General features: G+C 36.2%; 1 annotated feature.

Annotated features, from left to right (window-relative positions):
• Positions 207–773: an enhancer, noted in NCBI's record as "OCT4-NANOG hESC enhancer chr13:61662473-61663039 (GRCh37/hg19 assembly coordinates)". NCBI's record gives its function as "activates a minimal SCP1, AML or CMV promoter by ChIP-STARR-seq in primed H9 embryonic stem cells {active_cell/tissue: H9 hESC(primed)}" and the evidence as "EXISTENCE:reporter gene assay evidence [ECO:0000049][PMID:30033119]".

Here is a 25224-nt window from a genome sequence, read left to right as displayed (position 1 = left end):
GAAGGGAGAGATTGAAGTGTGGTGCCAAGATTGAAAGGAGAAAAAGGTTGAGGGTTAGTGAGGGAGGTTGGAGAAGAGAGTAAAAAGAGGCCGCTTACGAGATTTGAAATTGGTGAGATGTTTCTTGGGCTGGTCAGTCTGAGGACCTGAGGTCATAGGCAGATCTTTCTCACGGAGCAAAGAGCAGGAGTACAGGGGATTGATCTCCCAAGGGAGGTCCCCCGATCCGAGTCACAGCACCAAATTTCATGCGCATCCGTGTGAAGAGACCACCAAATAGGCTTTGTGTGAGCCACAAGGCTGTTTATTTCACCTGAGTGCAGGCGGGCTGAGTCTGAAAAGAGTCAGCAAAGGGAGATAAGGGTGGGGCTGTTTTATAGGATTTGGGTAGATAAAGGAAAATTACAGTCAAAGGGGGTTGTTCTCTGGCGGGCAGAGTGGGGCTCACAAGGTGCTCAGTAGGGAAGCTTTTGAGCCAGGATGAGCCAGGAGAAGGAATTTCACAAGACAATGTCATCAGTTAAGGCAAGAACAGGCCATTTTCACTTCTTTTGTGGTGGAATGTCATCAGTTAAGGCAGGAACCGGCCATCTGGATGTGTACGTGGAGGTCACAGGGGATATGATGGCTTAGCTTGGGCTCAGAGGCCTGACACTAATGTTACTGGCAGTGAATTCATAAGGGTCTGTGGCAACCTCAATTCTTGCCTCCTCAGAAGAAATCAGTTGACTAAGGGGCATAAGGCAGAAGGAGACACCAAGGCAAGATTTTTGCAGGAGTGAAAGTTTATTAGAAAGTTTTAGGGCAGGAATGAAAGGAAGTACAGTTGGAAGAGGGCCAAGTGGGTGACTTGAAAGACAAGTGCACTGCTTGGCTTTTGACTTAGGGTTTTACATGTTGGCATACTTCCAGGGTGTTGCACCCCTTCTCCCCTGATTCCTTCCTTGGTGTGGGCTGTCTGCATGCACAGTGGGCTGATAGCACTTGGGAGACCAGCACAACTCCAGTGCAGTGTGTTTTCTGGAATTGTATGCATGCTCACTTGAAGCGTTCTTCCCTTACCGGCCAAATGTTCCTAGAAGGTCATATACCAGTTAAACTCTACCATTTTGCCTCTTATGTGCATGCTTGAGCCCATTCATCCAACTCCTGAGATCTTTTCTTGAAGCTGCTGATCACTAGTTTCACATTTGTTCTATCTACTGGGAGAATGCCTTTCCCTGGTGCCAGCTGCGACTAGTTATTATTTTAGAGAAACCTTTAACAGCTGCCTGATCATCACCTGATGGTGACCTGACATTCCTGGTGTGTGTGTCTTGGGAGGTGAGCCCTCTCCTGCCTTGCTCACGTTTGACTAGCTACCTACTGTAACACTAGTAGCCTGCTGATGACCAAAAGCCTTACCAATAACATAATCAGTTGATTAACACACAATTGTATATTATCTGTATTATATACTGTGCTTTAACAATAAATTAAGCTAGAAAAGGAAATGTTATTAAGAAAATCATGAGGAAAATATATTTACTATTCATTAAGTGGAAGTAGATTAAAGTCTTTGTCCTAGTTGTCTTCATGTTAAGTACGCTGAGAAGGAGGAGAAAAAATAGGAATTGGTCTTGTCTCAGAGGCAGCAGAGGAAAATCCATGTGTAAGAGGACTTTCACAGTTCAATTCGTGTTTTCAAGGGTCAACTGCAGTTCAACTAATATTTTCTATTATTATCACATACTTCTAAAATAGGTGTTGATTAAAATAAATTTATTCTTATAAAATATATGTTACATCTTTAAAAAATGTTCTTTACTCCAGAGATATGTCTCTATATCTATCTATATTTATCTATATTTGTATCTAATCTATCATCTATCCATATGTATGTATCTTACATATCATATAAATTTGAATCAGGTATGCATTCACATTATGCTTGATTTATACTCACATCAGTTTCACATCAAATTTCACCTAAGAATGTTCAATTTAAGATATATTGGATTCTGAGTAGATTTTTGTTAAACAATAAACTTAAACATTTTAACTTTCTGCAGAGATAGTAGTGAAATGAAGGTGTGATCAACTGGTATTTGTCAGAGGTTAACAATCAGAAGTTCTTTTCAAATCCAGAGTGATCTGGAATATTATAGAATGTGCTTGATTTTCCAGTTGGACCATTTTTTAAGGTTTTTGCAAAAAATAAAATTTAAATAAATTCAACTAATTGTTTATATTTTATATATCAGTATGTAAGAAACTCAAAGCTTTAACAATGTTTCTTCACCAACAGAACAAAATAAAGATATCTTTTTTTTCAATTAAGAGATATAGCAAAAAGCCAATATAATTTTTCTGAAAAGTTTTTGTTATTGTTTATCTTTAGTGTAGGGGCCAAGGAAAAGCTTTCTATCTACCCTCTGAAGGTTTGCTGAAAATCACTGACAAAAGGTAGATTAATGGGAGAAAAGGCATATAAAATTTATTTGATCATAGTTTTATGTGACACAAGAGCCTTTAGAATCAAAACACAAAGATACACGGGAAATTGTCCATTTTTATGCCCAGGGTCAACAAAGTATTGACAGCCATGTGGAAATACGATTGGATTAAAAGGGCATGATCTAATGCTAACCTAACAGACTGAGTGAGAAACCCAGCATGGCCTGGTCTAGATTCTTCCTCTCCTCTGTGCAGCATTCCTTCCTTGTGGGTATGAGGCAGGACACTCTCTGGAATGGGGGTCTTATGACCTACACAGAAAGGCACAGTGTATGACTGAGTTAGAGTAGTATTTTTAAGTTTGATGGCTGGTTTGGGGAAAAAGTTTCTGGTTTCTGTGTCCTGACTTAGGGAAGAGGCATGCTAGTTCCTCCAGCTAGCCTCAGGGGAGAATGAGAGTGAGCGACAGGAAAGCAGGGTGAGGTCAGAGAAAAACTTGCTTCTGAGGCCTTCATTTTGGGATATCATTTTCTGAGCCCCAAAATTAGCTATGGAGAGAAGCAAAATATTCATATTTCACTAGAGAGTTTTTAATTTGATGAGCAACATCATCACATCGAAAGACTAAAATGATACTCTTCTTAAGCAAACTTAAATCAGGCTCCTCCAAATCCTCTTCTAGGCCCCTCTACCTTGCCTCCCCCAATCATTGACAGACATAAATATCCCAGTTTTAGCAAGAACCATGCTAAGTCAATTTTGAGACAATCTGCCCCCTCGATCTGATCACCCTGACCTGCCTTCATCATGAATCCTGGTAAGTTTGGCAAGAATCTTCCCTACCCTTGACAATTTCTCCTGGTATTTTCCACCACCACCCCTCTCCCCTAACCTACTCCTTGACTAAAAATCCCCACTTGTTCTTTTCTGTATTTGGAGTTGAACCCAATCTCTCTCTCCTATTGTAGTCTTGATACCTATCACAACAGCCTTCAGATGTCAGAATACTTTTTTTTTCTTTAACAAGACCCTAAAAATAAATCAGAAGAGAGGAAGGTCTTTTTTGCCTCAGGCTTGCTGTATATGTATGTGTACATGAAGTAATTCTAATAATACAAGGGGGAAAATTTAGTGAAATCGTGAATTTATTTATGAAGATCATATAACTGAAAGGGTCATCATGCAGAGTTTCTACATTCTCTCCCTCTCACTCTTTTCCTTTTATGGTTACCTTGAAAAGGAGATGAATCTCTGTAATACTTAGCATTTGAAACAAACTGTTTAGTATTTTGCATTTCAATAGAAGAAACAAAGAGTATAAAAATAACCACAATCAACAATTTTAAAGCAAATTCATCCTACAAATAATAGTCCTGAAAGATGTTTTAATGCAAACTGACAGGCAAAACCTTATGCAGTGAAAAGCTGAGTAACATTTTCTCTTCTGCATTATGTTGAAGATTTATAGGTGGAATGACTCATATTGGAAAATATCTCAATTCTCTTTATATTGAAAATGTTTAGAAGAGAGAAAAGTTGGGTGGGTTGGAAGAGTGAGCTTGATGACTAATGTTTCATTTATTCTACCAATGAATAAGACAGAAAAATTAAAATGTCCTCACAAATCCTGTACACAAAAACTCATATTTCATGCTACCAATAATCTTAAAATTGTGTACCTGAAAAAGGGTCATGTGACACTATAGTGGAAGTTGCTACACTTTAACATTTTCAGTTTTAAAAATGATATACTTAATAAGATTTTTTCTTAAAGAATAATCATATTTTTAATGAAATAAACATGTAAGAGAGAGACATGAATCTTAAAAACAGAACATTCTAGATTTGTTAAGAGTTTAGAATAGAGAAATCAGAATGTTATTCTGAGTTTGGGTGCATTAAATGGGCATTTGAGAAACCAACATTTGTAACTCCAAACATGTTCAGACTTTAACAATTAGTAGTAGTTAATTTAAGTCCCTCTGAAAATAAATAGTTATCAGTTACCAAGAAGATAGGGTTTTTTGGTGGGGGTAGTGGGAGTACTAAAGTGTCAAATGATGCCCCCAGATGGCAGGCAAGATGGACTCTCTGTGACTCAAAAGTTAAAAGCAGAACCAAGAGATCATGGCAGAGTAAGGGAGCAGTCATGCTGTGTCCTTAAAAAGTATTGCAGAATCTATTTTCATGAACAGTTCCTGAAAACAAATACAGCTGGAAATTCCCCAGTTGACCACCAACAGACCACCTGGCACCAATCAACCAGCTTCCTGGAATCAGACAATTAAGACAGACTGGTGATTTGGGGCTTACAGGTCATCCAATCAACACTGTGATCCACACTACCTTGATGTTCCTCCCCTGCCCTGCAATTTTTGCCTTAATAATTTCTGACATGGTTTGGATTTGTGTCCCTGCCCAAATCTCATGCCAAATGATAATCCCCAATGTTGGAGGTGGGGCGTAGTGACAGGTGATTGGATCATGGGGCCATGTTCCCCTTTGGTGCTGTTCTGATGGAGTTCTCACAAAATCTGGTTGTGTAAGATTGTGTGGCACCTCCCCCACTCTTCCTTCTACTCTGGCCATATGAGGACACCTGCTCCTGCTCTGCCGTCTTCCATGTGTAAAAGTTTCCTGAGGCTTCCCCAGAAGCTGAACAGATGCCAGCATCATGCTTCCTGTACAGCCTACAGAAGCATGATTCAATTAAACCTCTACTCTTTATAAATTACTCAGTCTCAGATATTTCTTTATAGCAAAGCAGGAATGGGCTAATAAAATCTTCTACTCTCCCAGTCCTCTTTGGACCACACTTGTGTTTTACACTGGAGGTTCTGTCTTCCCAGTCTATAGATTCTTTTAGAAAACAAAATTCTTTTGCCTCCACGGATCTAATTTGTCTTTTGTTAACAAGAAAAAAAAAAAGAATCTTTATTTTTGTAACTTCTAACAGAATTTTTTTAAATTAGTAGACTTTATTTTTAGAGCAACTTTATTTAGTTTTACAGAGAAATTTGGCAGAAAGTACAGAGCCTCTATATGTATCAACTCTCATTGTTCCAACAAATACACACATTTACCCCATTATTAACATTTTGAATCAATGTGGTATATAATTAATGACCCAATATTGATGTTATTAAATAATGTTCATAATTTACACTAGAATCTCTCTTTGTGTTATACCACGCAGATAATTTTGATTATTAAATAACATCTGTCACTATTTAAAAACTACTTACAAGAAATTGGCCATAAAGTTAAAAACCAGTGGAAAGATAAGTTCAAATAATCAGTATGCTTTATATACTCCCATAACATCTTCCATTTTTTCTCATACTTACATTCTAAATTGGATGTAGAAGAGAATAGGGCAGATCCCTTCATATCTGAAATCTAGACTTATGTTTCTAATTGGAAACCAAATCTCTTAGGATTATTCTTTTTTTCTTCACCAATTTATCTGGTGCTCACAACCAATTTCATTTTTGTTTATAAGAAGAAAAATGAAAGGAGTTGCACAATTTAAAGGCCACAAATACATAGACTTAAGGCTTAAGATAAAAAAAAAAAAGACATTCCAATGATCAGGATTACCTAAAGATGAATGTTTTATCTTTGAACATGATCACTTTTCAAAAAGTTTCAAGTAAGTGCTCAACTAAACCATGGATCCACTATCATTGCATCAATTAGTCTATATTGGATAATTAGAAATAATTTCATGTTTGGAATTAGCATATAAAAGTTATCTCAAGGCAATGAAAATAATAATTGTCTTATGATATCTTTGTTATTCATTTCCTTCCTTAAACACATAGATTAACTATCTATTAACAGGCTGTTAGTAATAAACCCAAGTGAAAGCCAATAAGAAAATTTAGTGCTGTCATTTCTCCACAATAAAACAAAGTCAAATTAGAAATCTACTTGTCCAAATAGATCATCAAAATAACTTTTATATGAATGTGTGTTTTAAGGAACTGTTTTGTGGTTAGGGTAGTTAATGTTAATTTAAATTATAATTTAAATTATAATAGTTTATTTTCAGAAATAAGGTTTAAGGAAGAGGTAGTGATTAACTTTAACTTTTAATAATAATTTAGATCTAATACTGTAACAAATTAATTAACAGCATCATCAAGGAGACCTATAATGTTTTCTTAAAGTCAGACTAAAAACTAAATAGCAGGTCTATGATTTGCACCTCTGTGATTATAAAAGAACTAAAACATCTTACACTGATAGTCAAAATTACACTGTACCCCTTAAACCACTTAGTGTTTTCTCTGTACAATTAACACCAAGCATGCCCCTATCCATACCTTCTTAATGACTGGCAACCAGTTCCAGCTTCTAGATTGAAATAACAGCAACCACACCTTTCTTCACCCACAAATGCAAAATAACACGCAGACCACACAGCTGGCATCAATTAACTCTGATTAAAAGTATTATCATTGATTTGGCATTGGAGTTTTTATTCCCATCCCTTTTGTTCAACAGTGTCACTCAGCCAATTTCATTTACATCAACTAAATACTAGCATAGAAAAGTTTAAGCAAAAAATAATCTAATAAAATACAATTTTTCAAATACTAAAACTTCAACCCCTTCTATTTTCTATTTCAGTTCTATCTGGAGTGTAGCCAAATATAACCATTTAAAATGTTAAAGATGTTTTGAGACATTTTTTGGAAAAGAGCTTATTTAAATTGAGTAGATTCAAAACAAATACATCATGTCTATGAACAAACATTGAATAGTGCTTATGCAAGATAATCAGAACTAAGTGGGAAATTATCTCAAAATGTAAAACAGCCCAATTTCACTTTATGGCCTAATTTAACATGGGCAGACCACTTAGTTTGCCAAAGGCCCTTGTTTTGAAAGAGTACTGTTAACAATGTACACACCTGCTTGGAGCTAACTGTAGCATTAACTACCTCAATTGCAGAATGTTAACAAGCAAGTGCACATACTAGGGAAGATTTGAGCCACCAGCTAATGCACATTTTTCTGGACATTAACAGGACACAGTTATAGTCTTAATCCAAATATTCTTTGCAGTGGAGCGGCTAAAATGTAAAATAAAACTTTTGGAGATTCATTTAAGATAGGTGTTTTCTATTTAACAGTTCTTTTCTTAAATAAAAAGATTTAGCTATTCTGTAATCTTTATCTAAATTTTGTTATACATATATAATTAACATATATATTCATCTATTTATACTTACACATACACATACCCAAGAGACAGAAAAAAAAACACCTGTGTTAGAACTTTTTTCTACCTACAACTTTTAGAGAGCACCATACACACAAAAAAATTACTACAACTTTGTCATGAATACTTCCTAACAGGATTACTTTTATGCAGTTACAAAGTTTCCCTAATAATCTATCATGACTCTATCAAAAGACTTTTAAGAGATTAAGTAAAAAATATCCTTCAATCCTACATTTAGAATTATGTTAGAAATTTGGGGTTGCCAGGCAGCAAGAACAGATGAGATATCAAGAATTCTGGGTTTTAATTCTGGATCAAAAACTTTAACACATGTCATTCTCATCACAAGTCAAATTGGAATAATCTCTGCTCCTTCATGAATAACTTAGTAAAAACTACACCAGTCCACGCCCTGAACACAGGCACTTGTGTAGAATCAAGTAGCAAAGGCCTACTGTAGGCAGAACAACAATTTCAGAAGTGATCTCTCCGTCTTCCCAACAAATTTTGCATTTTCACCTGAGTTACTGAAGTTACTCAATCTGGAAATCTGGGTGGCATTTTTGACACCTTTCTCTCCATCACCCACCCAACCAAATCCAAAAGTTTTAGAGGTGCTCCTAAAATCTGTTGATTTTTCTTTTTTTCACTATTTTTCTGTTTAAGTCCATCATTATTGCAACAGTCACCTAAAATGGCCTCCTGCCTTCATTGTTGCCCTTTTCAATCCACTTCACTTCTCTGTCAGAGAGTTTTCAAAAGCTGCAAATACAGTATTCACCCTTTTGCACAAAATTCTTCAAATAGCTCCTCATTGCCCGGATGATCAAGCCAAAAATGATGGACTTGACTTAAATTTTCTGACATAAAACTACTGTCACCCCATACCTTCACTCCATCTTTCTCCACCATCCCCAGCTCTTTACACACCGTCTTTGTTTTAGTCATGTATTATTGTTTTTATTTCATTTATATTCTTGGCAATCTCTAGGCTTTGAATGTGATATTTTCCAAGCCTAAAACATTTACCTGCATCTCTTTCTTCTTCTTTGATTTGTTTTCGGGTTAGTGGTCCCTTCTCATGAGAGGCTCTCCCAGTACCACCAGACATGTGTTAGAAACCCAGTTTATGTGCTTCAGAGTATCATTTACCACTTCAACAAAGTTGCCTGTTTCTTGTCCATTTCCTCGCTGACTATAAATGTTATGTCATAAGGAATCATATCTGTCTTGTCTGCTATTTTATCACCAACCCCGACACACAGTAGGAGTCAATATGTGTAATATTAACCAAGTAAATAAATAATACAATCTGTAAAAATTAATGATCAGCTTTAGTTGGAAAAGAAAAGAGTGACAGGAATGTTAGAAGTGGGTGTTTATGGGAGTCAAGAGTAACGGGAGACAGAATAAGTCTTTGTTTCCTTCTTACTCTCCGGAGAAAGTGAACATCTCTACGTAATACGGTAAAATGGGAATAACAGCATTGTCATCAAAAAGAGTCAAACTTCGTAAAATGTTTAAAGAAGTTTATCTTGAGCCATATATGAGTGACCAAAGCCTGAGTCACAGTTTCAAGAGGTCCTGAGAACATGAACCCCAGGTGGTTGGGTTACAGCTTGATTTTATACATTTTAGGGGAACATAATTTATAGGCAGACATCAGCCAATATATGTAAGGTACACATCGTTTCAGTCGAGAAAGTTAGGACAACTTGAAGCAGGTTATGGGTGGATTCAAAGATTTTCTGATTTGCAATTGATTGAAAGACCTAAGTTATTATCTAAAGACCTGGAATCAATATAAAGAAGTGGCTGTGTTAAGATAAGGGGTTGTGGAGATCAAGTTTCTTATCATGTAGATGAAACCTCCAGGTGACAAGCCTCAGAAAGAATAGATGGTAAATGTCTCTTACCAGAACTTAAAAGGCGCCAGACTCTCAGTTAAATCTTTTCTGGATCAGGAAAAGACCTGGAAAGGGAAGGGGGTTCTCTACAAAATGTAGATTTTCCCCATAAAAGACAATCTTGGAGGATCATTTTAAGATATGTCAAAGAAATGTATTTTGAGATGAAATACTTCAATTTCTTTCAGGCCTTACTATCTGTCATGTGATGCTATACTAGAGTCAGGTTGGAATTTGGTTTCTTATTGCTGGAAAGAGTCTGTTTTATCTGTTTAAGATCTGTTTTAATGTTAGTGCTGGTCAGTTGTGCCTGAATTCCAAAGGGAGGAAGAAGCATAATGAGGCATGTCTGACCACCCCCAACCCCTTCTCACCATGGCCTGAACTAGTTTTTCAAGTTTACTTTAAAGTCTCCTTGGCCAAGAGGAGGGGTCTAATTCAGTTGGTTGGGGAACTTCGATTTATTTTCAATTTACAGTCTGTCTCACAGGATTTTCATGAAATTAAACAAATTAATATTTGAAAGCACTTAGAAATATGTCAGACACTTCCTAAGTGCTTCTGGATATGTATTGCAAAATAAAAATTACATCAGACAGTCTAAAAATTATTCAAAATTATTGCAATGGTAAAGACAGACTATTGCAATAGAGGAGAAAGATTGAACTCAATTCCATTAACATGAACGACAGAAAAGTTTATAAACACTAGGATGAGCTAGTAGAGAAGTACAGGAAGATGCTGGAGGAAGTTGGTCAACGTGATCAGGCTATCCATGTTTTCTGATTGACTCTTTTTGAAGTTATGCTCCTGCTTTCCCACAGAGATTGGGAAATGGGGAACTATCTTGATGATAGTGATGGCTTCCAAGTTCTCGAGAAAGATATTCCTAGGTTGCAGAAAATTTACATCTCAAAAGGGCAGAGAAATAATTTACAATTACAAGTTTTCTAAAGTAAATACTCTTTAAAAAAAAAAAAAGGGTGGAGGGAGATCAGGAATCAGAAAGAACCCTATCTAAAATTTAGTCAAGCTGAGAGAAACTCGTTTAGGCTACCTTGGTCAGTATCAACCATTATACTATTAACCAAAGGGTAGAAATGAAGGTAAATTAACTTGATTTTTTTTAGATGTTACTGAATATACTTTTTTTATGTTTCTAATAATCTTGTGCACATACCAACTAAGGTCAATACATTTTTGAAATTAAAGTACCATTTTATACTGCAAGAGTCTTTGCTAGCTCCATAAAATATGGCATAAAGTCAGAATTGGAGCTAATGAGAACATAATGACATGTCCCTTCGGATAGTGGCAAAAGGCAAGAGAAGGGTAAGAATGAATGAATTAATTAATTATAGGTCACACCAAATGCATATCACTTAACTCCAGGCTAAAAATTATGGACTGTTAATCTGCAAGTTACCAAATTTTAGACCGTTAAAATGTATTATTTCTCCTAGGGAGGAGTGTTTCTCATCTAAAAGATATTTGAGTATTTGAATAAGCCTGTCTGAGAAGTTACTCATCACCTTCAACTCACCGAATTTTAATTATCAACATATCAAACCATTTGATATGTTTTCAACTTTGGTAAAAATGTCATAAACTTCATGTCATAACACAGACAACTACTATTTAATCAGAAGATAATGGGCTAAAATATGACACCTGCTGATTAAATTTCCTCATGTAATTTTAATATTCAATGGCAGCTTTTGTGTATATCCATATTTAGGAGAAGCAAACATGACTGAATCCATAGACTATGTTCAGCTACAACTGTAGTGAATATCTGCTAATTATCTTAATGACTCCATAATAGGTCACTAATTGTAGCTGGAGAAGATCAGTGGAAATTCAAGGCATAAGTGAACAGTAACAGACTCTATTCTGGACTAGCTCCACCTAAGACAGAGAAAAAAGTAACAGCATCAGACAGTGACAGTGAGTTTGAACACTATATTCTTTCTAAGTTTTCTATCTTTCCCTGCTCAATTTTTCTTGTATAGAGTTAAAGCACCACTCCTCTACTGCCTGTGTATATATAACTTCCAAGTTTACCACACTGATTCTAATCCCTGTGTATTAGTCTGTTCTCACACAACTATAAAGAAATACCTGAGACTAGGTAATTTATAAGGAAAATAGGTTTAATTGGCTCATGTTTCCATAGGCTGTACAGGAAACATGGCAGCATCTGCTTCTGGGAAGCCTCCGGAAATTTTCAGTCATGGCAGAAGGCAAAGGGGGAGCGAGGCATCTCACATGGAGGGAGCAGGAGGAAGGAGTGGGGTGCCACACACTTTTAAATAACCAGATCACTAGAACTAACCATCATGAGAACAGCACCAACAGGGAAATCCACCCCCATGGTCCAATCACCTCCTACCAGGACCCACCTCCAATATTGGGGGTTACAATTTGACATGAGATTTGGGTGGGGACACAGATCCAAACAATGTCATTTTGTCCCTGGCCCCTCCCAAACCTCATGTCCTTCTCATATTGCAAAGTCTAATCATGCCTTCCCAAGAGTGCCCCAAAGTCTTAACTCATTTCAGCATTAACTCAAAAGTCCAAAGTCCCAAGTCTCATCTGAGACAAGCCAAGTCCCTTCCACCTATGAGCCTGTAAAATGAAAAGCAAGTTAGTTGCTTCCAAGATGCGATGGGTATAGGCATTGGGTAAATACTTCCATTCCAAAAGGGAGAAATCAGCCAAAATAAAGGGGCTACATGCCCCATGCAAGTCTGAAACCCAGCAGGGCAGTTATTAGATCTTAAAGCTCCAAAATAATCTCTTTTGACTCTATGTCTCACATTCAGAGCACACTTGGGCAAGCAGTGGGTTCCAATAACCTTTGGCAGCTTTGCCCCTGTGGCTTTGCAGGGTACAGTGGCCACAGCTGCTCTCATAGGCTGGCGTTGAATGCCTGGAGCTTTTCCAGGTGAGAGATGCAAGCTGCCAGTGAATCTACCATTCTGGAGTCTGGATGACAGTGGCCCCCTTCTCACAGCACCACCAGGCAGTTTCCCCATGGGGACTCTGTGTGGGGGCTCCAACCCTACATTTCCCCTCTACATTCCCTAGTACAGGTTCTCCAGGAGGGCTCTGCCCCTTCAGCAGGCTTCTGACTGGATATCCAGTCTTTTCCATACATCCTCTGAAATCTAGGCAGAGGCTCCCAAGCCTCAACTCTCACACTCTGTACATCTACAGGCTTAACACCACATGGAAGCTGCCAAGAATTATGGCTTGCATCCTCTGAAGCGGTGGCCAGAGCTGTACCTTGGTCCCTTTGAGTCATGGCTGGAGCTGGAGCAGCCAGGATGCAGGAGCACTTTCCTGAGGTTGCACAGGGTAGCAGGGCCCTTGGTCCAGCCCATGAAACCATTCTTCCCCCCTTGGCCTCTGGGACTATGAGGTAGGGGCTGCTGTGAAGGTCTCTGAAGTGGCTTCAAGGCCTTTTGCCCATTGTCTTTGATATTATCACTTGGCTTCTTTTTATTTATGCCAATCTCTGCAGCCTAATTGAATTCCTCCCCTGAAAATGGGCTTTTCTTTTCTACCACATAGGTGGGCTGCAAATTTTTCAAACTTACATTCTGCTTCCCCTTTAAATATGAATTCCAATTTTACATCATATCTCTGTCTATGCATATGAGCATTTGTTGTTGGAAGCAGCCAGGCCACATCCTGAATGCTTTGATACTTAGAAATTTCCTCTGCCAGATACCCTAAATCATTACCCTCAAGTTCAAAGTTCCACAGATCCCTAGAGCAGGGGGCACAATGCCTCCAACCTCTTTGTTAAGGCATAACAAAAGTGACGATTGCTCCAGTTCCCAATAAGTTCCTCATTTCCATCTGCAGCCTCCTCAGCCTGGCCATCTCTGTCCATATCACTATCAGCATTTTGGTCACAACAATTTAACAAGTCTCTAGGAAGTTCCAAATTTTCCCTTATCTCTCTGTCTTCCTCTGAGCCTTCCAAATTCTTCCAACCTCTGCCCATTATCCAGTTTACGAAGCCACTTCCACATTTTCAGGTATCTTTATAGCAATGCCTTACTCTGTGGTACCAACTCTGTGTATTAGTCTGTTCTCACACTACTATAAAGAAATACCTGAGACTGGATAATGTATAAAGAAAAGAGGTTTAATTGGCTCACAGTTCCACAGGCTGCACAGGAAGCATGGTAGCGTCTGCTTCTGGGGAGGCCTCAGCAAACTTTCAACCATGGTGGAAGGCAACAGGGGAGTGAAGCATCTCACATGGTGGAAGCAGGAGGAAGTGAGGGAGATGCCACACACTTTTAAGTGACCAGCTCTCACAAGAGCTCACTCACTAGCACCAGAACAGTACTAATGGGGAAATCCACCCCCACGATCCAAATACCACCCACCAGGCCCCACCTCCAACACTGGGGATTGCAGTTCAACGTGCGATTTGGGTGGGGACACAGACCAAACCATATTATCCTGGTTCCTTTCAATCTCTGTTTCCCTCTCCAATCTATATCATCTAATATACCCAGAAATATCCAAGATAAATTTTTCTTTTTTTCATTGAACTGAAACCTGCAAGTCATTATGTGACTAGTTGCTACATTTTTTGTCTTAACTCACAAGGGAGTTTCAATCATGAATTATCTATAATGTATCTCAGATCTAACTCCCAACACCCTACAAAATGAAGGGAGAAAATCTCTAAGCTCATCACTCTTTCTCTCTGAGAAGGTCAATCACTAGAACTTAAGTCACTGCCTGGGCAATACGGTGAAACCCCATCTCTACAAAAAAATACAAAAAAATTAGCCAACCATGGTGGCACATGCCTGTAGTTCCAGCTACCTGGGGGGCTGAGGTGGGAGGATCGCTTGAGCCTGGGAGTTTGACCTATGATCATACAACTGCACTCCAGCCTGGGTGACAGTGAGATTCTGTCTAAAAAATAAAAAATAAAAAACTTAGGTCAAACAGAAAATCCATGTTTAAGATGTTTATTTTTAAAATATTTTAAAGCATCACAGGACTACCCATAATAAGTTTATAGGGAAGTGAAAATAAATAAAGATGTGCTCCTAATACAACTCCAGGTTGTCATTTTGGGTCTCTCTCTTTTTCAATGATGGTAGTTTCCAAGTCAGGCTTATACATATGCTAAAACTGTAATGAAGTTGGAATAATGCAATCTGGATGTGGACTGATCTGAGCACTTAAATAAAATTTGAAATCCTTAATAAATTCTCATATTTTGAGTTACTCTTACCTTAAAAATATCAGCATCTATTGAATGGATAAATGTGCAGAGTAACAACTCCATAGAGAATAAGACAATCAGTTTGTCAAAAAATATTTATTGAGCACTAGCAATGCAATAAATGAGACGGGAGTAGCTCTTACTCTCATAGAACCTATAATTTTGTGAAAAGGACAACATTAATCAAGTAACTGTAAGTATATTGAGGGCTGTCAGAGTAAAGTACAAGGGAAGTCAAAGGCTAAAAGAAAGAAGTGAGATTTAAGTGAAACTTGAAAAATTATTGGCAAACACTTCAGTGAAATACATCCATGTCAAGTTTCTAGTGAAGTATGCCAAGTAATCATTAGACCCATATTGGGTTTTGCCCTCAAAAGAGACCATTGGACCAGAATTGCAAATTAAAGAGAAGTCATCAGCATTAAAATGTTAATCATAGACATGGAAACAAATGAAATTACCAAAGGAAGGGGCATGAACGAAAGGAGGACAAAAATAATTAAAAACGTGCACATAAGTAAATCTTGAGATTTTTTTAGAAGACAAGTCTCATGCCAGATCTCGTTGTTCCCTTCCACTCTGATGGTGCAGGCATGTGTTTTCTCTCTGAATTCCCCAATCACTTCATCTCTGTCACTGATCTCTCTTTGGTCACTGAATTCAACAAAAGTTTTTGTTGCAAATAATTTATCTCAGTTTTGTCCACCTCAGGGGCACTTACAGTTATACCCATAGTCCATGAAATAGCTTAGAAGACCCCACTGGATTTTGTACTTGTACTCCATTACTTTTTTATTCCATCTTCTCCTCATTCTTTCTCTTTCAGCTATGCTGGCCTCTGCTGTTTCTTGACAACACCAGACACATTCTGATTTTGGAATTTTGCACTGGTTGTTCCACGCTGTCTAAAACACTCTTCTTTCAGATTTATACCCAGCTCTCTCTCCTCCTTCAATCACTTTTAATCAATTGTCACTTTATATAAGATTGCAACAACCCCAGCTTCCCTAAGCTTCTTTGTTTGTTCACTTCCCTACAGTACTTTGATATTAATATATTCCAGTTACTAAGGTCATTCAATAACTGTTCTTAATAATTTTTGATGAATAAATAAATGGATACATGAATGAATAGACGAATGTGTAAAGAACCCATTTGCTCCAACTTCTGGCAACTTAACAGTAGGTAAGTCTATATATACCTCATGAACTATAACAATGCAGTAAATATTGTTTTGGAATACTGTACAACTTACCAAAGCGCTAGCATACTAATAAAGTAATTTAAAGCAGACTCTCTGAGAGTTTAAATCTTTGCATATCCTGCCTGAATGCAGATTAGATATGTGTAATCAATGGACATAGAAAGGAATCAGATTTGAAATCTGTGCTCACCGTCTCTTATTGCACCACAATTCTTGATTCCAAGGGCTGTTTCAGAAATCTTAGCAAACTAATTCTCAATGGTTACTTTCAAAGTAAACACGAAAAAGAGTGGGCTGATATATCGAAGAGTTTCTGTCATAGATTTGTCACACTACCTAAATGGAACTGTTTTCCTTTACCTGTGATTTAAAATGAAGAACTAAAGATACTGCATTAAACAGTTATTAGTTGGCTCAAATAATTATAGCAAATAGTAGGATAAGTACCTCTAGGTCAGAGGATACTGTAAACATGTGTACGAGTAATCTTACGTAAAAAGTCATGCCTAATTCCATATTAAATGAGCATTTGAGGCTAGTAGCCACCATTTTTTTAAAAATAAAGATAAAGGTATTTATCTTTATTTAGGTATCCTCTAAAGGTATCCTCATTTAGGTAGCCTCTCTAGGTTTCCTAACAATAAACTATTTTAAACTTTCTGATCAACAAAACAAAGTTTGAACATAATTCAGTTCTAATTTAATGATTATTTTTATATCATTAATTTCTCATTTGGAGGATCACAATCCAAAGTTTTACTAATGAATATATAGTGAATGTAAGGTAAGAATGCTTGCCTTCTTTCTGTCCACGTTTCATTTGAAAATGGAGAGTTATCAGATTTGCTGCAAATCAATCCCTCGTACTCTGTGGCTTCAATTCTGAATTTAATGTTACCCTTAGCTTTAAAGACACATTCTTTACTGGGGTGAAGACACAGCCAACTAGAAAGTTCAATAGCTCATTTTGAGCTGGAGCGTTTATAGCCATCAGTCTTATTCTAATGAAGTTCCCATTTTAAATAATTTGATAAATTAGTATAGTCTTATCTAGAGAAGTACCACTGTGTTCTATTAAAATTTAATTGCATAAGTATGTAAGAAGCAGTTTTTGAATCCTGTAAGGCTTGATTTAAATTAACCAAGTAAAGGATGAGATAGAAACATGCAATTTCGTCATAAAAACAAATACAACAATGAAATACAGACACCTACGGTGAGAACACAAACACTAAATAACTCATGAAACACAGCCCAATGGGACATTTAATTTCAATGTGTTTATTGAAAAGCTCACCAGCTGCGAAGTCCCTCTTAAGAAATGAGCTGGACTCAAATTAAATGGTGCCTCTCACAGTAACTAATTGTGATTTCAGTTACTTCAAAATTGGAATATAGAAATATATTGTATTAAAAAGGTGAAATAAAGTTTTAATATCTAAGAATAAGAATAATCCTGGTCTCAGGTAGATGTTGTATGCTTCTAGTGAAGACAACACTGTGAGGGTGATCGCACTACATTTGCTTTGTACAGAGAGAAATTGTCTTATAATTTTAATCTATATATCTAGACCAAACAGCTATTTCACAAATGAATTCCTTTTGTGATATGAAGCCAATAAGATGAATATGGGTGAGAAAACATACTAGCATTACTTTAAAAAATCCTATAAGTTCATGTCTTCCTTTTATTAGGCAGTGAGAACATAAAGAACAGTACATTTCACTTCACTTACAAACATATTGAGAGATGAGACTCCAAAATCATTTTTAGTAGCTAGTATTTAAAAGGCTTAGAAATTCTCTAAATCTTTAACATAGTAGTTTATGATCCTTTTTGGTAAAACCATGCAATAGCTTGTCAACCTCTTCTGCATAATCCCTGAGCAACAAGGTGATATAAGGAAAATGTCACATTTTAGCATAAAAGAGGGTTGACTACTTTTCTGAGATTTTTAATTGTATAGGAACATTACAAACTTCTCTAAGCCTTATCTTATTCTGAAAAAGGACTTTAACACCTATATTGTACAGTTGCATTAGAAGGAACTTCTAATTTGAGCATATCTAATACAGTGCCTTGTCTTAAAATTAATTTTTTTTCTTCATAGTGACATGAACATTTTATTGCTGGGTTTTAAAATAAAATTCCAGATCATCTAGAGCCTCTGATGGCATGCGTTAATTAAAGTGAAAAACACTGAAATTGCTGGGGGAAATCACTAGGCTGAATTTACCATTATCTGTGCTTTCACACGTACTAGAAACCATCACGTAGAAGAGTATGTCCAGCACTTGCCTCAGAACACATAAACAAATGTCTTGCTTCCAGCTCTATCCCTCTGTAGCATTTTTTGAGGTCTGACTTCAGAGTCTTTAGTTGTATTATAGCTAGTCCAGGATGACAGAAAAACAAAGGAGGAAAAAAAAGCAAAGAGGAAATATTTTGCTTTCCTGAAGTTAAGGCTGTGTTGAACCGAATAAGGCTATACTTCTGTGAGTTTCTACAAGATATTCTGCACATCCCGCCCATAGTTGTAAGAGAGAATCTTCTAACAATATTACCTCAAACAACAGTGAGGTAATACATATTTTGGCTATTAAAAATGATAGATACATATCTATCTTGGCCAGACGGGGTGACTCATGCCTGTAATCCTAGCACTTAGGAGGCTGAGGTGGGTGGATCACCAGGTCAGGAGTTCAAGACCAGCCTAGCCAATGTGGTGAAAACCTGTTTCTACCAAAAATACAAAAATTAGCCAGGTGTGGTGGCGGGTACCTGTAATCCCAGCTACTCAGAAGGCTGAGGCAGGAGAATCACTTGAACCTGGGAGGTGAAAGTTGCAGTGAGTCAAGATCACGCTACTGCACTCCAGCCTGGGTGACAGAGCAAGACTCCATCTCAAAAAAATAGAAAAAATATCTGTCTGTCTGTCTGTCTGTCTGTCTGTCTGTCTGTCTGTCTGTCTATCTATCTATCTATCTATCTATCTATCTATCTACCTATCTAAAAAGCCAAGGTCTACTCTAAACTACCTAATATTTGACCTGCAATTAAACATGTATTAAATGGTACCTGCCCTATCTTTTCTTCAGTGTATGATACAGCTCATGAGTTGGATTTGTAATATCATCTGCAAAAATCTTCTAGATGATGTCATGTGTCCCCCAAGCAATGGAATTTATTTTATATACTGTGCAAACACCTGCATTGCCCTCTTGAGAAGTAGGATACAAGGACTAGAGAGATAATCTATACACTCTGGCAACAGAGAGACCTTAAGCATTTCATCTGTAAGAGGGCTATTAATTACTCAAGAACTAAGATGTATCGAAGAGCCAAAACTGTGAAACTCCTTCACATTCCTCAAGCACAGAATATCTTCTATTCCCAATGCCTTTCTACTCTGAAAAGAGTCCAGTGTAAATTTATGCAAGGTGTTACTGTGGGAGTGTTAAGATAAACAGGAAAATGTTGCAGAAACTCCAAAACAATTAAGGCTTTTTAAAGCTAATCTCTTCAGGATTAATAAAAAAATTACTTTTTCTTTGATATGATCAAAGATTTCCAAATTTGTTTTAAAGTCCTCTTTTAAATAATTTACAAATGGACTTACTAATATTAAAAGCTTAATATATTATAATTGGCTGAAGAGTTGCCTTATAAATTATTGTTATTGTTCTATCAGTATAATTATAGTGAACATGAGGAAGATGTTTAAACTGCTAGAATACTAGCTTTGAAGGTATGTACAGTACAGACAAAATTTAATGTAAAAATTATCTGAATTATAAATTCTATTCAATTATTATAACTGCTTGATTGTGATTATTATAAGGTATATTTTTTAAGAAAGAGATTTGTGTTATGCCTGAAATTTAAACAACATAACTGAATCACTGCTACTCCCATCTCTGAGCCTTCAGAATGCATTTAAAAATCTAAAATTATAAAGACAGACTCACAAAGGCCAATGCCAGATATAAAGATGAAAAGAACTTCAAGATAGAGCCTACCTAAGAAATCTCCTAGCATTATTGCTTAATCCTATTCACTTGTTTATTCATTTAATATTTGTTGACCACATACTATGTTGCAAACATCAAAACAGGTTTTCTGCCTTCATGTAATTTAGAATCCAGCAAAAATAAATAAGTAAAGATAGACTTTGAAAAACTATTAGAGGTCCAGTTTCGTTAAGGAAAAGAACAGAGATCTATGTAATCATGATACAGGAGCAAAACTAGTGTGGAAATTAGAGGTTTTACTTCAGTAAATGATACTTAAGCTGACAAATCAAAAGGGAGTTTTGCACCCACTCAGAAAAACATTATCATCTACCCAAAAAGATAATCACCAGAAGGAAAAGATCTGAAATTGAAGCTTCTCCTTCTCCCTATCTAACTGCCCTATGCTTCCCAACAGACAAAGCTACCTGAACTTGGACTTGGGGAACCCTCAAAATGACTCATTGCTTTTCTCTGGAGTAGGTGCAACCAGAAAATAGAGGAACCCAGTTTATATTTCAAATAGCTAACTCATTCCAGTTTATGGGTAAGAAGCTACTGATTAATATCCTTCTCTTATGCTTTTTTTTCACATAAAGATGAGAATTAGTTGTGGTAGCTTAAAATGTTGAGCTGTTATGGTCACATCGTTGATACTTGTCTGTGTACGTATTAAATCATTTTAACATGCATTTAGCCAATAGAACATTTCTAGAAACTAATTCGAATACCTGAAGTTTTATGCATGAAAGTTTACTGGTGTTGATAACACACTATCACCTATTCGCTTTTTAAATTCTTAAAGTAACAGAAGTTACATAATGAGTATGTTTCAAAATTGGTAGATTCAGGAATAGCATTATTAAGATATGCATAGTGACTCAATACAATTCAATCCAACAGACATCACTGAGCTGCTGTTATGTACGTAGCACCATTCCAGGTGTTGTGGGAGACTTAAAGATAGAGATAACATGGTTCTTTGCCTGAAACCGTTTTCTTGATTAAGATCTTTGGCCTCTGTAAGTTTCTAGTATTCCAGGGGCTATACAACCTCAGGTGTCCTCAATGAGCAGATATTTCTACACTGATTTTGTAAAGCACTTTATGATTCATTGATTACCTTACTTTGTTTCTTTGCTTCTATTTACTTTGTCTTTAATTTACTCCTTTGTTTTAGCTTTGTAAAATAAAAACTAATGTCTTTGGTTTGTAGCCTTTTGTCTTTTTGGATATACTTATATAAAGGTAAAAATTTTCATCAAATTATTGTTTTAGCATCACTTTACATATTTCATATATTTTTCTTTTTATTGAATTCTAAATATTTGCTACTACTCGATTTCTTTTACTTATAAGTTGTTTAGAAGAGTGTTCAAATGAATTGAATGTACTGTTTAATTTTTTGTATCCCTATTTTCTATTTCTTATTATATGAATATCAAAAGAGGAGTGTTGACATCTCCAACTATAATTGTGAATTTCTCGATTTCTCCTTTTCAGTTAGGTCAATTTTTACTTAATATATTTTGAAGCTCTGCTATGAAATGCATACATATTTTCAACTGCTATGTCTTCCTGATAAGCTGACCCCTTGGCCAGTAAAAAATGACTGTCTTCATTCCTGGTAATATTCCTTGTTCTAAAGTCTGCTTTGATATTAACTTAGCTATGCAGGCTTTCATAAAATATGTATTTGTATGAAATATGTTTTCCCACCCTTTTCTTTTAGCTCCATGTGTCTTTATTTGTATTTTGCTCTTGTTTGTGGAAGGCATAGTCGAGTTTTTTAAAATTCAATCTGATAATCTTCATTTTTTAATTGGAGTCTTCAGACCATTTACATTCAGTGTGGTTACTGATGTGATTGATTTAAATCTACCATTTGTTCTTTGCTTCCTAATGGTTTCATTAGGTTTTTATTACTTCTTCCTCTTCCTGGAAATATTTTAAATTGTATAAATTTTTATAACTTCATATTATATATATCCTTGACTTATTAGCTACACTTCTTTGTTTTTATTCCTTTTAAGAATCAAGGTCTCTTCCTGTTGCCCAGGCTAGAGAGCATAGAGAGTTTTGTGATCATAGCCCACTGTAGCCTCAAATTCCTGGGCTCAAGCTATGCTTCCACCTTAGTCTCTCGAGTAGCTGGGACTATACCAGCTGGTACACTACCATGCTCAACTAATTTTTGTTAGTTTTAATTTTTAGAGACTGGGGCTGACTATATTGCCCAGGCTGGTCTAGAACTCCTGGCCTCAAGCAATTCTCCTGCCTCAGCCTCCCAAAGTGCTAAGACTAAAGGTGTGAGCTACCACACCCAGCTTGTTTTTTATTTCTTATTGATTTCTCTACAGTTTGTAATTCTATCTTTAATTATTATATTCTACCTTCAATTCTATTATACCAATTTTCTTATTGTATAAAGACCTTATAATATTATGCTTTCATATCCCTTCTTCTATCTTTTGCGACTTTGTTTTGGCATATGTTATAAGCCCCACAAAATATTGTTGTTACTTTGTTCTAAACGATCTAATGCCTTTAAACAAAATTAAAGAATTAGAAAAAATGTTTTATTAGTAATATCTACATATTTACCACTTCCAAGACTCTTAATTTTTTAGCATAGCTCTAAAATTGTTTTTCTTCTCTCATATCATTTGTGCATGAGAAAAAGTATTTATTTTTACCGTAATATATGAAAGATAATTTTGATGCAGAATTCTGAATTGACAGGTTTTCTTTCTTATTCAGCATCTTAAAGTTGTCCTTCTTTTGTCTTCTGGCTTTCAGTTTATAACAAGAAGTCTATGGCAATTATCTTCGTATCTATGTAGGTATTATCCCTTTTTAAAATCTGGCTTAAGATTTTTTCCATTTCTCACAGATTTTCGGAAATTTGATCATGGTATGTTTGGTGTAATCTACCTTGTATTTATCCTGCTTGGGGTTCATTAAACCTCTTGCTTCTATGGGCTTGTAATTTTCTCAAATTTGCAAAACTTTGAACATCTATTTTTCACATTTTTTTTCTGCTCTTTTTCCGGGACTTCAAGCATTCGTATGTTAACTGCTTCACATACTCCCACAGATGACTGGGTCTTTATTATTCTCTGTGCTTCATTTTATAGAATTCTTTTGGCATTTCTTCAAGTTCACTGATATTTTATTCTTTAAGATTGTTTAATCTGCTTTAAGCCACTGAAGTGAAATTTTCATTTAAAAATTATTTTTTAACTTTAGAAATTCCTCTTGGTTCTTATTTTTTAAAACCCTGAGCATATTGAACATATTTTAATGGCTCTTTAAATGTTTTCATCTGCTAATTCTGTCATCTCTGCCATTTATGTTTCTATTGATTCATTTTATGTCTGGTTATAGATCACAATTCTTCTTCACAAACTATTTTTTAATGAATCACAAATGTAAATTTTACATTTTTTAGCAAATATTAGTGTATTGTTAATGAGTATTGGAGTTTGTTCTGGCAGGAAATTAAGTTACTTACGAATCAGTTTAATACTTTTAGATCTTGATTTTTAGCTTTTAAAGGGTAAGTCTTCAATAGCCTTTTCTATATTCCTGTTTTAGCTTCACAGTTAAAGAATACTTCTGGAATCTTGAGTTACATGTCTCATGTTTTCAATGACATCTTTTCACTCTAACTCACACAAACTCAAGCAACTATCCCTGAGTGAGCTCTGGAAGTTTTTCCTGTTAGAGTTCCCTGATAATTGTTCTCTCCCCTTAATTTTTCCCCCAGCGGCATGAAGTTTCACCTATGTATATGTAGATAGGTATATAGCCAAAGATACAAGAAAGCCCTATGCAGATTTCTGGAGCTCTTCCTCTGTGTACCTCTGTCCTTTCAAATATTCTGCCTCACAAAGTTTAGTCACCTTGGCCTCTGGAGACTTTGATATTGATTCCCTCAACTTGTCCAGACCACTCGGCTCTCTTTGAGTTCCCTTTCCCAGTGAGACTGTGGGTGGGACTCACATCATCTGTTTCCCTTCTCTCCAGGATGACAGTCCTATGTTGCTTTTGGTCTAATTTTTAAAACCAGTTGTTTTAGACATTTTTTCCACTTTTCTTATTGATTTTGGTGGAGGAAAAATGTGGATCTGATAAGGTTTGGCTCTGTGTCCCCACCCAAGTCTCATGTTGAATTGTAATCCCTAGTGTTGGTGAGGGACCTGGTGGGAGATAATTGGATCATGGGGGTGGTTTCTAATGGTTTAGCATCATCTCCCTATTACTGTCTCGTTCTCACGAGATCTGGTTGCTTGAAAGTGTGTAGCACTTTCCCCTTCACTCTCTCTCTCTCGCCACCATTGAAGATTGCGCCTCCTTCCCCTTCTCCTTCTGCCATAACTGTGTATTTCCTGAGGCCTCCCAGCCATGCTTCCTGCATAGCATGTGGAGCTGACAATCTCTTTTTATTTTATTATGATAAAAACTTTTTTATACTTGAATATAATTATTACAAGTACTAAAAAATATTTCAAATGACTAACAATGATAAGAACAAAAACAGAACTTACTACAATTTTTAAAATATTCTCTAAACAATAAAGTATGAAAATAAAGAAAAAACTATGAACAAAGTACAGTATAAATACATCTAAAGCAAGACAAAAGCATGAACACTGAAAATTTAAAAAATTCAGTACTGGATAACCCTGGATTTGTGTGATTTGTGAGAGTGTATGTGGTGGTAATGACAGTGATTTGTGTGTGTCTGAAAACACACAGAGAAATAAATACTAGAAAATGTATAGTAAAACATTATGTGAAATTACTTCTCTTCAATACAAAGTCATTGAATACTTGTTTCAAGGTTATTTGGTGTTGTTCACAGACTGCTGAGCTGGAAGAGTTTCCAGGAGATCAGTTTTGGGTTTTTATTTGTATTCTAAGCATAGCTGAATAAAATAGAGTGCTTTAAGCTGTGCTATGAGACTGTTGTTTCACTCCTTTTAGGCTGCCTGTCACCACACTGAACTAACCAAGCACATTCTCATGGTTCTGTCTTAATATTTTCATAAACTCTGGACAAACACATTTATTTAGTAAATGCTAACTCTTATATTGATATATGTAAGTTCAATGATTCTACATTCTCATTATATATGTATATCTTTCACCATACACTGTCCTA

The sequence above is a fragment of the Homo sapiens genome, chromosome 13 (genome assembly GCF_000001405.40).
Source record: "Homo sapiens chromosome 13, GRCh38.p14 Primary Assembly".
NCBI classification, from domain to species: Eukaryota; Metazoa; Chordata; class Mammalia; order Primates; family Hominidae; genus Homo; species Homo sapiens.
This window is presented reverse-complemented; position numbering and strand designations above follow the sequence as displayed.